General features: G+C 39.4%; 1 protein-coding gene across 4 annotated transcripts in view, besides 4 other annotated features; it reads left to right on the forward strand.

The window, feature by feature from the left end:
* Positions 316-545: a silencer, noted in NCBI's record as "silent region_4614". NCBI's record gives its function as "represses an Ori minimal core promoter by ATAC-STARR-seq in GM12878 lymphoblastoid cells {active_cell/tissue: GM12878}" and the evidence as "EXISTENCE:reporter gene assay evidence [ECO:0000049][PMID:35858748]".
* Positions 497-13,906, forward strand: part of RXYLT1 (ribitol xylosyltransferase 1) — a 29,654-nt gene continuing 16,244 nt past the window's right edge. The window contains exons 1-4 of one of the 4 annotated variants that reach the window (XM_047428079.1): positions 497-717; positions 1,607-1,762; positions 5,558-5,660; positions 10,476-10,519. In XM_047428079.1, coding sequence (XP_047284035.1) covers positions 549-717; positions 1,607-1,762; positions 5,558-5,660; positions 10,476-10,519 — 472 coding nt within the window. In that variant the 5' untranslated portion in view covers positions 497-548. Of the gene's footprint in view, positions 1,051-1,606; positions 1,763-3,128; positions 3,293-5,557; positions 5,661-10,475; positions 10,520-13,906 lie in introns of those variants that run through there. The other 3 variants (NM_001278237.2, NM_014254.3, XM_047428078.1) reach the window with 3 other exon arrangements.
* Positions 562-837: a silencer, noted in NCBI's record as "fragment chr12:64173754-64174029 (GRCh37/hg19 assembly coordinates)". NCBI's record gives its function as "represses an EF-1alpha promoter that drives an FKBP-Casp9 reporter gene in an ReSE screen in K562 erythroleukemia cells {active_cell/tissue: K562}" and the evidence as "EXISTENCE:reporter gene assay evidence [ECO:0000049][PMID:32094911]".
* Positions 562-865: a biological region, named in NCBI's record as "ReSE screen-validated silencer GRCh37_chr12:64173754-64174029".
* Positions 566-865: a silencer, noted in NCBI's record as "silent region_4615". NCBI's record gives its function as "represses an Ori minimal core promoter by ATAC-STARR-seq in GM12878 lymphoblastoid cells {active_cell/tissue: GM12878}" and the evidence as "EXISTENCE:reporter gene assay evidence [ECO:0000049][PMID:35858748]".

The following is a 13,906-nucleotide window of genomic DNA, read 5'->3' on the forward strand; positions in this document are numbered from 1 at the left end:
ATGTTAAGCGACCATCATCACTTAATTTTTTTAAAGGACGTTTATATTCACTCATCTATCAACGTAGTAGGCACTGTCCTAGGCGCTAGGGATTCCATGCAGAGCAAAAAACGTCACAGTCCATGCCTTCACATGGCCTTCATGGACCACCGCGGGTGTTCTTTTTCCCCCGAGTCTTTATGTACTTGGGAAAAGTGGCCAGGGTTGAAAGGTGCAATGAGTACACGGCAGAGGTCAGAGAGGTTCCCACTCAGCCCGGCGTCTGGAAGCAGCGTGGGGTAGGGGCCGCTCCAGTACCCCCTCCTCCAGTGTCGAAGGTGGGCAGGCCCTCGGCCGGGTGGATGAGCCGCGACTGGAGGGGGCGGGGCCTGGGCGGGAGGCGGGCGGTGGGCGTGTCCGGGGCGGGGCTGTACCGGGCGCTGGGCGGAGGAGCCTTGGCTGGGGACTGCCTGGAAACGGGCTGGGCCTGCCTCGGACGCCGCCGGTGTCGCGGATTCTCTTTCCGCCCGCTCCATGGCGGTGGATGCCTGACTGGAAGCCCGAGTGGGATGCGGCTGACGCGGAAGCGGCTCTGCTCGTTTCTTATCGCCCTGTACTGCCTATTCTCCCTCTACGCTGCCTACCACGTCTTCTTCGGGCGCCGCCGCCAGGCGCCGGCCGGGTCCCCGCGGGGCCTCAGGAAGGGGGCGGCCCCCGCGCGGGAGAGACGCGGCCGAGGTAGGACTGGGTCGGCGGCTTCCTTCCGGCTCTGCGCTCCTGGCTGGGGCTGCTGGGCGGCTGGGGCCGGGTCCCCGCACCCGGCTCTCAAGTCCGGGATTACCCGCAGGGCCTGAGAAGCGCTTTGCCCCCTACAGCCTCTCGAGCCAGCCCTTGGCTCGGAATTGGAGAATGGTCCTCATTCTTACCCAGATCTCACACGCCGTCCCCGCTCCCGATCCCAGGGGGTGACAGGCGCGCACGCCTTTCAAACACGTGTTAAAATCCAAGACGTCGTCTCAAATGCCAGAGATTTGCGGGAATGCTCCTGGAAGGCCTCAAAATCGCCGCAAGGTTTAAGACATCCGTTTCCATGTTGAAACAAAGCCCTCTCTAATCCTGCAGTGACCATAAGGCAGACTTTACCTCCAAATTCTGGTCCCCTGTCCTGTGTTTTAACTTGTGTTAAGATCAGACTCGGCTTTCTCTTTCCCTTTATTCAGAATTTTGCACGATAGTATCTAAGACTGGTGAACACTACACTCTGAAGTCAGTTTTTTGTGCATAGGTTACCTGTATACAATGGATAAAAATAATTGCAAAAGTTAAGCTTGTAACTTGATACATATTATCCTGTTATTTTTAAAGGTTTTGTGTTGGGGAAGAGAATTTTCCTGTCTCAAGGTAGCATTTTATTTCTAAGACTTTTCAGAGTAAAAAAAGTTCAGTAAAAAAATTGCTGATTTTCTTTTTTGTTTTCATTGTGTATTACCAGTTTAAATTCAGTTGCTGTACCTCTCAGAAATTAAAGTTAGGATGAAATTAGAACTAACACTTAATTTAAATGATTTGAATTTACCTACAACTGCAATAATACCTTACTGGTAAACACTTACTCTTTTTAAAACAGAACAGTCCACTTTGGAAAGTGAAGAATGGAATCCTTGGGAAGGAGATGAAAAAAATGAGCAACAACACAGATTTAAAACTAGCCTTCAAATATTAGATAAATCCACGAAAGGAAAAACAGATCTCAGTGTACAAATCTGGGGCAAAGCTGCCATTGGTAAGTTAATACGTAGAAGGAAGACATGTAAAAAGCATTATAAAATGTATTTTATTGATATGAAATTCATTTTAATATAATTTATTTCATAATTTGTTAATTAAGGCATCATGATATATTTTTTCGCTTTTTGTCAATAATTCCTTTCTCCTTCCAATTAGACAACATCTGTTTGTAAATGTACACACATACATATTCCACTGTTGGTCTTTAGCAGAGCACAGCTTCATTTATTGATACATTGAGTAGGCTGTATAGTGTCATTAGATTGCAATGCATATGTCAACTGAATTTTCATGAATCTGTGTATTTTTTGGACACTTGATACACAAGTATAAGATGTGGCCCCTGCCCTTGATGGCCAAACACATTTGGGAAACACTGAAGAGTACAAAGTTAAACAAGGTTCTTCATTGCAGGCCTTTCTCAAGAGCCTTTAATATGACAATGTTCATTGTATCAGCGAAGGAATATATTATAGTATGTAGTTGATTAAACTTGATTGACCACAGAAGCATTTTTGCTGTGAATATCATGAGAGTGTAGTGTTCTAAGATATATATTATGCTCAATTAGAGAATGGGGCCCTGAGGGTTTAAAGAGTCACAAAGAATTTAGTGACTTAGAAAGCGCTTTATGTGGCCTTTGAACATGAGTTGGGTTTATGTACAATAAGGCATATGGATAGAAAGTACCAGATGAGAGGAAAATGTACAGAGCATAGTGCTCTGCTCATGGTATTTCATAAATTCGTTCATACTTACATACAAGTATATATCCTAGAAGATTACTACCAACCTCTAAATTTCAAGTACCTGAAACCAGGCCTTCAATCATCAAGTTCTAGCCATTATTTTTTAAATAAAGTCTCTAATATTGATTTCTTCTTTTAAATCTCAGATTTTCATTTCCAGACTTCTCTCTTTTCAATCTGATAAGTGCAAAGTGGCCAAGTGAATTTCATCAAATGCTACCTTTTTTTTTTAACACCTCTGCTAGCAGGAAAAATGCTACTTTGATCAGCCTATTCTCTAGACACAGTTATAAAATACCGTTATAGAAATTCCCATTCAAAAGGGGAGAAAAATTGAAGTAAAAAAGTGTCACTGGTCCAAGCAATTTTGAAATCTAAATTTCATCTAAATGGCCAGCTCCATTAGATGATATTGCAGGCCTAGGAATAATCTATAGGTTGTACAGCTTTGCCCTCTGGCATCTCAGCCACACTCTTGAAGTCATCTTTTCCTTTTTCATAAAAAGTAGCACAAGTTTGCAGCTTCGTAATTTTATCAGCCTGTTGACAGCTGGTAAAATTTTCAGAGCCCATCAGCCTTCTTTCATTGTGACCTCTTGCTGTCTTTTTTAGTCCAAGCTGGCAGCGTTTCTGCTCATAAAACATTCTGAAGAACCTTGTGGGCCCTCTGTGTATGTCACAGGATTCACTCCATTAGATGGGAAGCTCCTCTGCAGATCTTTTCTGAGTAATCCCATCTCCATTTCTGGCTTCTGCTGAGATGGCTGAGGAGACCTGTAAGTCACATGTATAATCTCTTCAAAGAGCCCTTTGTGTGAATGAATATTCAGATCTTCTGATCCTTCTGAGGCACTAGCAAAAGGTTGTGCAGCCACATCCTTGGTCTTGTTTCTGGAACACCCTTTTCAGGCAGCAAATCTAATTTTTCACATCTTTTGCAATCTTAATGGTCCGAGAATTTCCCAAATCATCAAATTCTGGTTCCCTTTTGCTTAACAGTTTTTCCTTCTATCTCTTTTTTCTTATATTTCACTAATCACCAAGAAACCAGTCCACACCTTTCACTTTGCTTGGAACCCTCCAGCTAATTATTAAAGTTTATCACAAGTTCTGCTTTCCATGTAACTGCAGGATACAATCCAACTAAGCTTTTTACTGTTATATAACAAGGATCCTCATCCTTCCAGTTTCTAATAACACATTCCTGATTTTCTTCTGAGCCCTCACCAGCAATTTCTTTAATACGCATATTCTAGGCATGGCGTCTCACGCCCGTAATCCCAGCACTTTGGGAGGCTGAGGCCGGTGGATCACTTGAGGCCAGGAGTTCAAGACCAGCCTGGCCATCATGGTGAAACCCCGTCTGTACCAAAAATACAAAAATTAGCCAGACATTGTGGCACGTGCCTGTAATCCCAGCTACTCAGGAGGCTGAGGCAGGAGAATTGCTTGAACCCGGGAGGTGGAGGTTGCAGTGAGCCGAGATCATGCCACCTTACTCCAGCCTGGGCGACAGAGCGAGACTCTGTCTCAAAAAAAAAAAACATTGCATATTCTTACCAACAATCTGCTTGTGATCATTTAGATATCCTCTAAGACAATACAGGTTTTCTCTACTCTACCTCACTTTCTTGAGTCTTCACTAGCTGAGTCATTAACATCCATATTTCTATCTGCAGGTTATTCAAGGCAATCTAATCTAGGCTTTTTAAAATCATGTCCTCACAGTTCTCTCAGCCTTTCCCCATTACCCAATTTCAGAGACACTTCCACATTTTTAAGTATTTGTTACAGTAGCACCTCATTTCCAGGTACCATAATCTTAACTGTATAATCCATAGCATCCTATTGCAGCCATAACAAATTACCACAAATGCAGTATCCTACCTTTCTGAAGGCAGAACTCTAAAATGTGTGGGGTCTGTGTTACTTTTTGAGGCTCTAGAGGAGAACCTGTTTCCTTACCGTTTAGAGTTTCTAGCGGCTACCCGTATTCCTTCATTTATGGCCCCACATCACTCTGACCTCTGCTTCTATCTTTATATATCCCTTGCCTCACTCTGACACTCCTGCCTCCCTTGTGTGAGGACTCTTGAGATTACATAGGGCCCACCTAGATAATCTATAATAATCTCTTCACCTCAGCATCCTTAACTTAATCATATTTTTAAAGTGTCTTTTGCCATGTAAGGTAACATATTCATAGATTCTAAAGATTAGAATATGGACATCTTTGCTGGTGGGGCAGAGGGACATTATTCAACCCATCACATTTGGAAAGCGTTATCTAATTGGCCACATTTTAAACGTGGTGGCTTGCGTTTCCTTTAGTACCAGGGTACAATGAGAATGGAACAAAAACCTCTTTGAGTGTAACCAAAACAGGGTGCCCAGAGGTGGTGTATGGTCTCCATAGTGCCTCATTGAGTAACACTGCTCTCCTCTACTCTCAGAGCTTTCATTCAGGTGAAATCATGATAAAACATCAGGGGCTGCCATAAGGAGAAAAGATGCAATGACATTTGTCTGTGAGGGGATCATGCATTCAGGGATATGTGTTCAAGTGAGGAGGAGGTAATATCCCCTTGACATATTGAATGTATTAATATATGTACATACATGAGCTCCTCTGGCTCCATTTGGCACAAAATGGCAACTCCCCCAATCTGTTATAAAAGCAGTTCTAACCACATAGTATAGTTTACTTTGTAATATAATACATTTCATTTCAGAATAAGACAGGTGGTAAAGATCCATATAAATTAGGGGTTTCTCAAATCTAGAGTAGGAGAGGTCTTTAATATTAACTCACATTTTGCCACATTTTACACACTAACAGCTTCTGAGCTCTGTCTCTCATTAGCTGCCATGTTGATGATTTGGAGCTGTTGCTTGATAGCACTGCCTGCCAACGGCCCAAAGGAGAGGCATTCTGGTTTTATAGTCAAATGAGTAAAAGAACAGAACGTAAACTTGTCTCATGCACTAAAGTAGATGAGACAGTAAATTGTTTTGATTTTGTTTTTGTTGTTAATTACCAGGCTTGTATCTCTGGGAGCATATTTTTGAAGGCTTACTTGATCCCAGCGATGTGACTGCTCAATGGAGAGAAGGAAAGTCAATCGTAGGAAGAACACAGTACAGGTATTGGTTGTATTAGTTGTGCAACATTAACCTTTGATGTTTTGCTCTGCAATATTTTCTGTAAATACTAAAAGAAAAATAATAGGAAAATATATTTATAAAAATACTTCTATTTCAACTTGTAAAGAATAGAGAAGTAAATCTCATGAATATGTATTCATAATTAAGCTTACTTGGACCTTATGAAATTGTATATTACAGAATACTCCTTTTTGGCATCATATGTCTGTTTTATTTTTACCTAATTATATAGAAAAGTTCATACTCCACATCTTACAGCGTTTGAATGGTGACAGCCATTGAAAACATTCTGTATCTTGGAGGAATAATATGTAAACCTAAAAGTATTTTCATTTTTCTCTTTCATGTAATAGTCATGTTCACTTTTTAAAATATTTAGGTGATATCAAAGCTCTTGCTGTCACTTTGTAGATTTTTGTTTATTAAAACAAATTTGATGAGTTCTATCAGGATTTATTTTTTATTTTAGATTTAATAAAGCCAATGTATTGCTTAGACTTTTTTGGCCTTTTTATATAACTCTTTTCTATGACTGCATATTTTCTGAGTGTTTTTAAGTATATTAGGATTATTTTATTTAGGAAAACTATAATTTTATCATATGAAATGCTATTTTATTAGATTTTGCTTTATTGAAATTAAAAATAAAAACATTATTTTTAAATGCTTATTTTATATAACAGTTGTATTATTGGGGGAAAATGTGAACTAAAGATTCTGCTTTGTATTGGAATTTCAGTCTTTTCTACAGAAATCAGGAAAGGAAAAGCTATAGTTAACCTCAATTTTGTTCTAATTTTTACTACAGCTTTAATTCTTTATTTACTTTATATACACTTGGAAAGCAGTTTTATTGCATGTATCTTTTCAAAGTTAAAAAGTAAACAGGTTTTTAAAATTATCATTGGTAATGATTATTTTTCCTTTCATCTTCATGCTTCTGTTGATCTAATCCCATTCAAGAGCTTAAATAGACTTACAATGGTTGGATTTGGGTGTGTGAAAGTAAATGTGTATTATGTGTATAAATCTAATATTTTGGTATTTGAAAAGTAAATGTGTGTTAGGAATATTAGTCTAATCCATAATATATAAAATTTTCAGAAAAGTTATTAAAAATTCATAAAGTTAGCATCTTTAAGGTTAAAATTATACATTGTTACTATAATAATAGTGAAAGATTTGAGCAAAGAACATTAACTCCCAAAAGAAAGCCAAATGTATCCTTTACTTCTGAAATATTTGTGGGAGATTTTACAGGCATCCTCTAGAGATACTGCGTGTTCAGTTCCACACCACTGCAGTCAAGCAAATACTGCAATAAAGCAAGTCATATGAATTTTTTTATTATCCAGTACATATGAAAGTTATGTTTACACTGTACTACAGTCTATTAAGTGTGTAATAGTATTATGCCTAAAAAAAAAAAATACGTACCTTAAGTGAAAAATACTTTATTGCTAAAAAATGCTAACAGTTATCTGACCCATCAGCAAGTCATCTTTTTGCTGGTGGAGGGTCTTGCCTCGATGTTGATGTCTAATCAGTGTATTGATGACTAATCAGGGTGGTGGTTGCTGAAGGCTGGGGTGGCTGTGACAATTTCTTAAAATAAGACAACAATGAAGTTTGCCACATCAGTTGACTCTTCCTTCACAAAAGTTTTCTCTGTAGCACATGATGCTATTTGGTGGCATTTTTACCCATAGAACTTCTTTCAAAATTGGAGTCAATCCTAGGCCGGATGCAGTGGCTCATGCCTGTAATCCCAGTACTTTGGGAGGCTGAGGTAGCTGGATCACTTGAGGTCAGGAGTTCGAGACCAACCTGGCTATCATCGTGAAACCCCGTCTCTACTAAAGATACAAAAATTGGCTGCAAGTGGCAGCACACACCTGTAATCCCAGCTACTTGGGAGGCTGAGGCAAAAGAATCCTTGAACCTGGGAGTCAGAGGATGCAGTGAGGTAAGATCATGCCACTGCCCTCCAACCCCGGGCGACAGAATGAGTCAAAGAAAAAAAAAAATTGGAGCCAGTCCTCTCAAACCCTACTGCTGCTTTATCAACTACATTTTTGGAATATTCTGAATCCTTTATTGTCACTTCACCAATGTTCACAACATTGTATCTTCACCAGAAGTAGATTCCATCTCAGGAAACCACTTTCTCTGCTCATTCATAAAAAGCAACTCCTCATCTGTTGAAGTTTTATCATGAGATTGAAGCAATTCAGTCACACCTTCAGGTTCCACTTCTAATTCTACTTTTCTTTCCATTTCTACCACATCTTCAGTGACTTCCTCCACTTAAATCTCGAACCCCTCAAAGTCATCCATGAGGGTTTAAATCAGCTTCTTCCAAATTCCTTTTAATGTTGATGTTTTGACCTCGTCCCATGAATCATGAATGTTCATGGTATCTAGAATAATGAATCATCTCCAGAAGGTTTTCATTTACTTTGCCCAGATCCATCAGAGGAACCACTGTCTGTGGCAGCTATAGCCTTATGAAAAGTATTTCTTTTGTTGTTGTTGTTTGTTGTTTTTTTTTTGAGACAGAGTCTTGTTCTGTCATCCAGGCTGGAGGGCAGTAGCGTAATCTCAGCTTCCTGCAACTTGCGCCCCTGGGTTCAAGTGATTCTCGTGCTTCAACATCCCAAGTAGCTGGGACTATGGGCATACGCCACCACACCCAGCTAATTTTTGTATTTTTAGTGGAGATGGGGTTTCACCATGTTGGCCAGGTCTCCTGTCTCGGACTCCTGTCCCCAAGTGATCCACCCGCTTCAGCCTCCCAAAGTGCTAGGATTACGGGCGTGAGCCATCGTGTCTGGCCAAAAAGTATTTCTTAAATAAGACTTGAAAGTCAAAATTACTCCTTGATCCATGGGCTGCAGAATAGATATTTTGTTAGCAGGTATGAGGACATGAATCTCCTGTACATCTCCATCAGATCTCTTGGGTGACCAGGTGCATTGTCAATGAGCAGTAATATTTTGAAAGGAATCCTTTTTTCTGAGCAGTACTTCTCAATAGTAAGCTTAAAATATTCAGTAAACCATGCTGTGAACAGATGTTGCTGTCATCTAGGCTTTTTTCCATTTATAGGGCACAGGCAGAGTAGATTTAGGATAGTTTTAAAGGTCCTAGGATTTTCAGAATGATAAATGAGCATTGGCTTCAACTTAAAGTCACCCAGCTACATTTAGTCCCTGATAAGAGAATCAGCCTGTCCTTTGAAGCTTTGAAGCCAGGCATTGACTTCTCTCTAGCTATGAAAGTCCTAGATGTCATCTTCTGCTGATATAAAGCTGTTTCATCTGCATTGAAAATCTGTTGTCTAGTGTAGCCACCTTCATCAATGATCTTAGCTAAATCTTCTGGATAACTTGATGCAGCTTCTACATTAGTACTTGCTGCTTCACCTTGCATTTTTATGTTATGGAGATGGCTTCTTTCCTTAAACCTCATGAATCAACCTCTGGCAACGTCAGACTTTTCTCCTGCAGCTTCCTCACCTTTCTCAACCTTCATAGAATTGAAAAGAGTGGAGGCCTTGCTCTGGATTAGGCTTTGGCTTAAGGGAATGTTGTGGCTGGTTTGATCCTCTATCCAGACTATTAAACCTTTCTCCATATGAGCAATAAGACTATTTCACCTTCACATCATTCATGTTGTTCACTGGAGTAGCACTTTTCATTTCCTTCAAGAACTTTTCCTTTGCATTCCCACCTTGACTGTTTGGCATAAGAGGCCTAGCTTTTAGCTTGCCTCAGCTTTTGACATGCCTTCCTCACTAAGCTTAACTATTTCTAGCTTTTGGTTGCAAGCTTCTCCAACCCACCTTATTTTATTGTTGTTGTTCTGTTTTGTTTTGTCTTAGGCTTTTAGCAGCCTGAAGCCATGGCTTTTAGTTTCTGTCTTTAGTAATAAGCAGAAAAGAGGGATAAGGAAGGGGTTTTACTGGCCCAACCAGAAACAGAAACTAAGAATCCATGCCTATATTCTCTCCCTTGGACACTCCTGAAAGTGAGAGACTTGCGACTCTTCCTTTCACCTAGAGGGCATTCATTATAGGGTTATTAATTATAGGGAACACTTAGAGGGCATTATAGGGTTAATAATTGGCCTAATAGTGTTGTGTCTCAGGGAATAGGGAGGCCCAAGGAGATGGGGAGAAATGGGGGAATACTGGTTGGTGGAGCAGTTAGACCACACACATAGCATTTATCTATTAAGTTTGCCATCAGATCTTGTGAGACTTATTCACTATCATGAGAACAGTACAAGAAAGACCTGCCCCCATGATTCAATTACTTCCCACCGGGCACCTCCCACAACATGTGGGAATTGTGGGAGCTACAGTTCAAGATGAGATTTGGGTGGGGACACAGCCAAACCATATCACCATCTCATAGTGAGCACATGCTGTTGGAAAATGGTACCAATAGAATTGCTTGACTGGGGATCACCACAAACTTTCAATTTGTAAAAAACTCTTTATTTGCAAAGTACAATAAAGTGAAGCACAATAAAATGAGGTGTGCTGGTATTATGGCCAAAGAGTAATACCGTTTCCTCTTAGGATTTAAGAGAACTATATTCAAGAAAGGTCACCATTGTATGAGATTTTTTTTAAACAGCTTATTAAAGTGTTAGGTTCATGAAAAGTAGCGTACATAATTTATCCAAAATTAATAAACTTTTATGCAATTGTAAGTCTTCAGTTGAAACAACTACATGGGTACTAACTTAAGTGTTTCCACACATTCACCATCCTTGTTTGACCAAAAGTGAATCAGAAGTAACGGCTCACCTTGAAGATATTGGAAGAATTTGTAAGTACTGTTAAGATACTTGTTGAAAATAAGTGTAAATATACTTTGTTTAAATAAACAAACGAGCTTATATCATTTAATTGTAGCCTCGAGACAATTCTAAGACAGAAGTAGAAAGGATATCATCAGTGTTGCAGGGCTCATCAGGCTCAGGAATGCTGATTTTCATCAACACATAGGCCCAAAGAATGAATTCCAGCATACCAAATAAATGATATAGAATGGAAAGAGAGCTGTCAGTCAGGCCATGTGTTTGTATTGGTTTGACTGACACATTCTTTCCATACAGGCAGGCTACAATTGATAACCAATTATTTGAGGGTTGATTACATAATGGAACCATATTATGGGATTTAATTATATGTAGTGCTTTTAACTCTGTTTCAGAAAGAAAGACAGAAATATGACTCCTTTTTCACCACTGAATCGGTAACATCATCCATAGGCTGTGCTCAGAATATGAATGCATGAATACATACAGGGCAAACTGAACTTCTGGATGAGCCTGATGAAGCCCTGTCACCTCTGGGCAGTGTAGCATGTGACTCAGTTATTGAGAGTACAGACTCTGGAGCCAGACTATCTTTGTTCAAATTCTTTTATTTTTTTCAGACAGAGTCTTGCTCTGTCACCCAGGCTGGAGTGCAGTGGCGCAATCTCGGCTCACTGCAACCTCCACCTCCCGGGTTCAAACGATTCTCCTGCCTCAGCCTCCTGAGTAGCTGGGATTACAGGCGCCCATCACCATGCCCAACTAACTGACCTCATGATCCACCTGCCTTGGCCTCCAAAAGTGCTGGGATTACACGTGTGAGCCACCACACCTGGCCTAGTTCAAATTCTTGTTCTATTACTTTGCTGTCTGACCTTGGGCAAGTTTCTTAACCTCTCTGTTTCAGTTTCCTCACATTTAAGGCAAGTAGTAGTTCATATTTCACAGGATTATTCCAAAGATTAAATGTGTTAATAAATTACAGGGCTTAGAATAGTATCTAACACACAGTAATCACTATAGAAGTCTTGTTGCTCTTTTATTTTAGTGTTCCTTAACTAAGTACTGCAACATCTTCCTACAAGCAGTTCTCCTTTTTCTGTTTCCATTACTGTCTCTTACCCCTCCGTCATGTACCTGCCCACAAATGCCTTATTGATACATTCTTTATATTAATATGTTCAATTAAGTTTTAAGCTAGCCTGAGACCCATTCTGTCTCTTGAAGGAACTTTGCCTACCACTACTCATAGCCATCATATGTTGATTTATAGTTTAATCTCATAGGACAATTTTATTTTTAATTTCTTAAGAGGAACCTTGATTCTGCTCATCGTGACTTTTGCTCATCCCCCAAAGACTGCCTTCAGAATCCTATCATTTCTATGTATAGTCATTACCACAGGCTATATAAATGTCTACCCATTTGGTAAAACAAAAGGTAGATCATAAATTATTAATTGTTATCAAGATTCGATTATAACATCTTCAGTGAGCATCTGCTACTTATGAAAGAGTTGAACTTATTTCCAAAGATCATGATAGAATAAAACATGTCAGATGGCATTTTTAGAATTTCCAGACTACTTTTGTAAGAAGTTAGCTCACTATGAATGAAAGCATTTATAGATAACGTTAATGGTTACTGACATGACATTTATTTAGGTCAAATGCTGGAGCATAAATCAATGGAGATCCCAAATAAAATTTTCATTGGTAAACAAAGACAAAACAGTATTTCAAAATGCCACATTTATTCTTTTAATGTTAAAATATCCTTTAAAAAATAGTAGTGATAGTGATGGCCCATGCTTATAAAGAGCTTACTATGCGCCAAACAGTTCTATACACTTAATAACTTTTAGTTTGTTTAATCCTTACCACAACCCTATGAAGTATCATTGTTTACATTTTGCAAGTTAGGAAACTAAGACAAAAGAGATTAAATAACTTCCCCACAACTGCAAACTAGTAATTATAACAAATAACATCTAACATTTACATAGCTCTTACTATGTGTGAGACACTATTCTCAGTGCTCACAAGCATCCATGAGGCAGGTACTGTGCTTACCTCGTTTGAGCACTGAAAGGCTAAGTACCTGGCCTAAGGTTACATACTTCTAATTAGTGGGTAAAGCCAAAAGTCAAGCACTACACTCTTGACTAAGGGACTATTTTGAGTAAGAGGCAGTCAGGGGATTTTTATTTTTAATGTCTTAAGAAGTTGGTGATTCTGTATTGGTCCCTAAAGATCATTTTCAGTTTTTTGTAGTAAATGGAATCTTGAAATCTAAGAACTGATGAGCTAAGCAGTGTCCTAGAGTAGCAACTCTGAGTTCACACCTTATCCAGTGTAATATTAGAAACCTTGTTTTAAAAATGCACTATTTTGATATATTTTTGGTTTGACAGAAGACAGCTGCTGAAACTCTTTCTCTCTCATCACTCCTGTTCAGCCGATGTCTCACCCAAGCCCATGTAGTCAACATAAAGAAATGAGAAATTGCCAGCTCTTGGCTCTTATGCCTCTTCAAAGATTAATGAGCATTCAGGCTGCTTAGAAGGCATCCAGCTGTGGGTGAGATGGGCTTCCAGCCTGGCAGAGTAAACACTGAGGCCCGCAGTCTTGTCCCAGCTCTGCTGCTGGCGTGCTATGAGATTTCCCAGCCATCTGGGGTCTTATTGTCTTATTTTAAAATGGAAAGAATCCTGAGTCAACAGCAACATATGAAGTGGTTGCTGTGTTCCAGGGGCTTTTACAGATATTAGCTCAGTGAATTTTAATCCTCAGAACCACCCTGTGCAGCTGGTGGTATTACTCCCATTTTGCAATGAAAACCTTGATGTTCTGAGAGATTAAATGACTAGTAAAGATGGGATTGAACCATGGTCCTCCCTTTAACATGATAGATTAGTCCACATCATCTACAAGTCACCTCCAATATTAAGTATATTCAATTCTATAATTTCATGTTGAATTCTTTTTAAGAGATGGGGGTCTTGCTATGTTGCCCAGACTGGAGTGTGGTGACTGTTCACAGACAAGATCATAGCATACTACAGCCTCTAACTCCTGGGCTCAAGAGATCCTCCTGCCCCAGCCTTCTGAGTAGCTGGGAATATAGGTATGCAACACTGGCCCAGCATCATTCTGAATTCTTAAATGGGGTCATTTTTAGAAATTCTTATCTATGCTTTGGGTCTAGACTTTTTTTCCTAATCTGCTACAACCCAGTTATAACCTCATCTTGACTTTTAAATGTTTTTAGATTTTAATATCCTCTTTATAGTAATTTAATTACAATTTTGCCATAATCTCTGTTAACTATGATTTAACTTTTGCACATCTAATGTGCCCAATTCTTGATTATCTTTTAATGTTTTTAATTTTTTT

The sequence above is a fragment of the Homo sapiens genome, chromosome 12, assembly GCF_000001405.40.
Source record: "Homo sapiens chromosome 12, GRCh38.p14 Primary Assembly".
Classification (NCBI taxonomy): domain Eukaryota; kingdom Metazoa; phylum Chordata; class Mammalia; order Primates; family Hominidae; genus Homo; species Homo sapiens.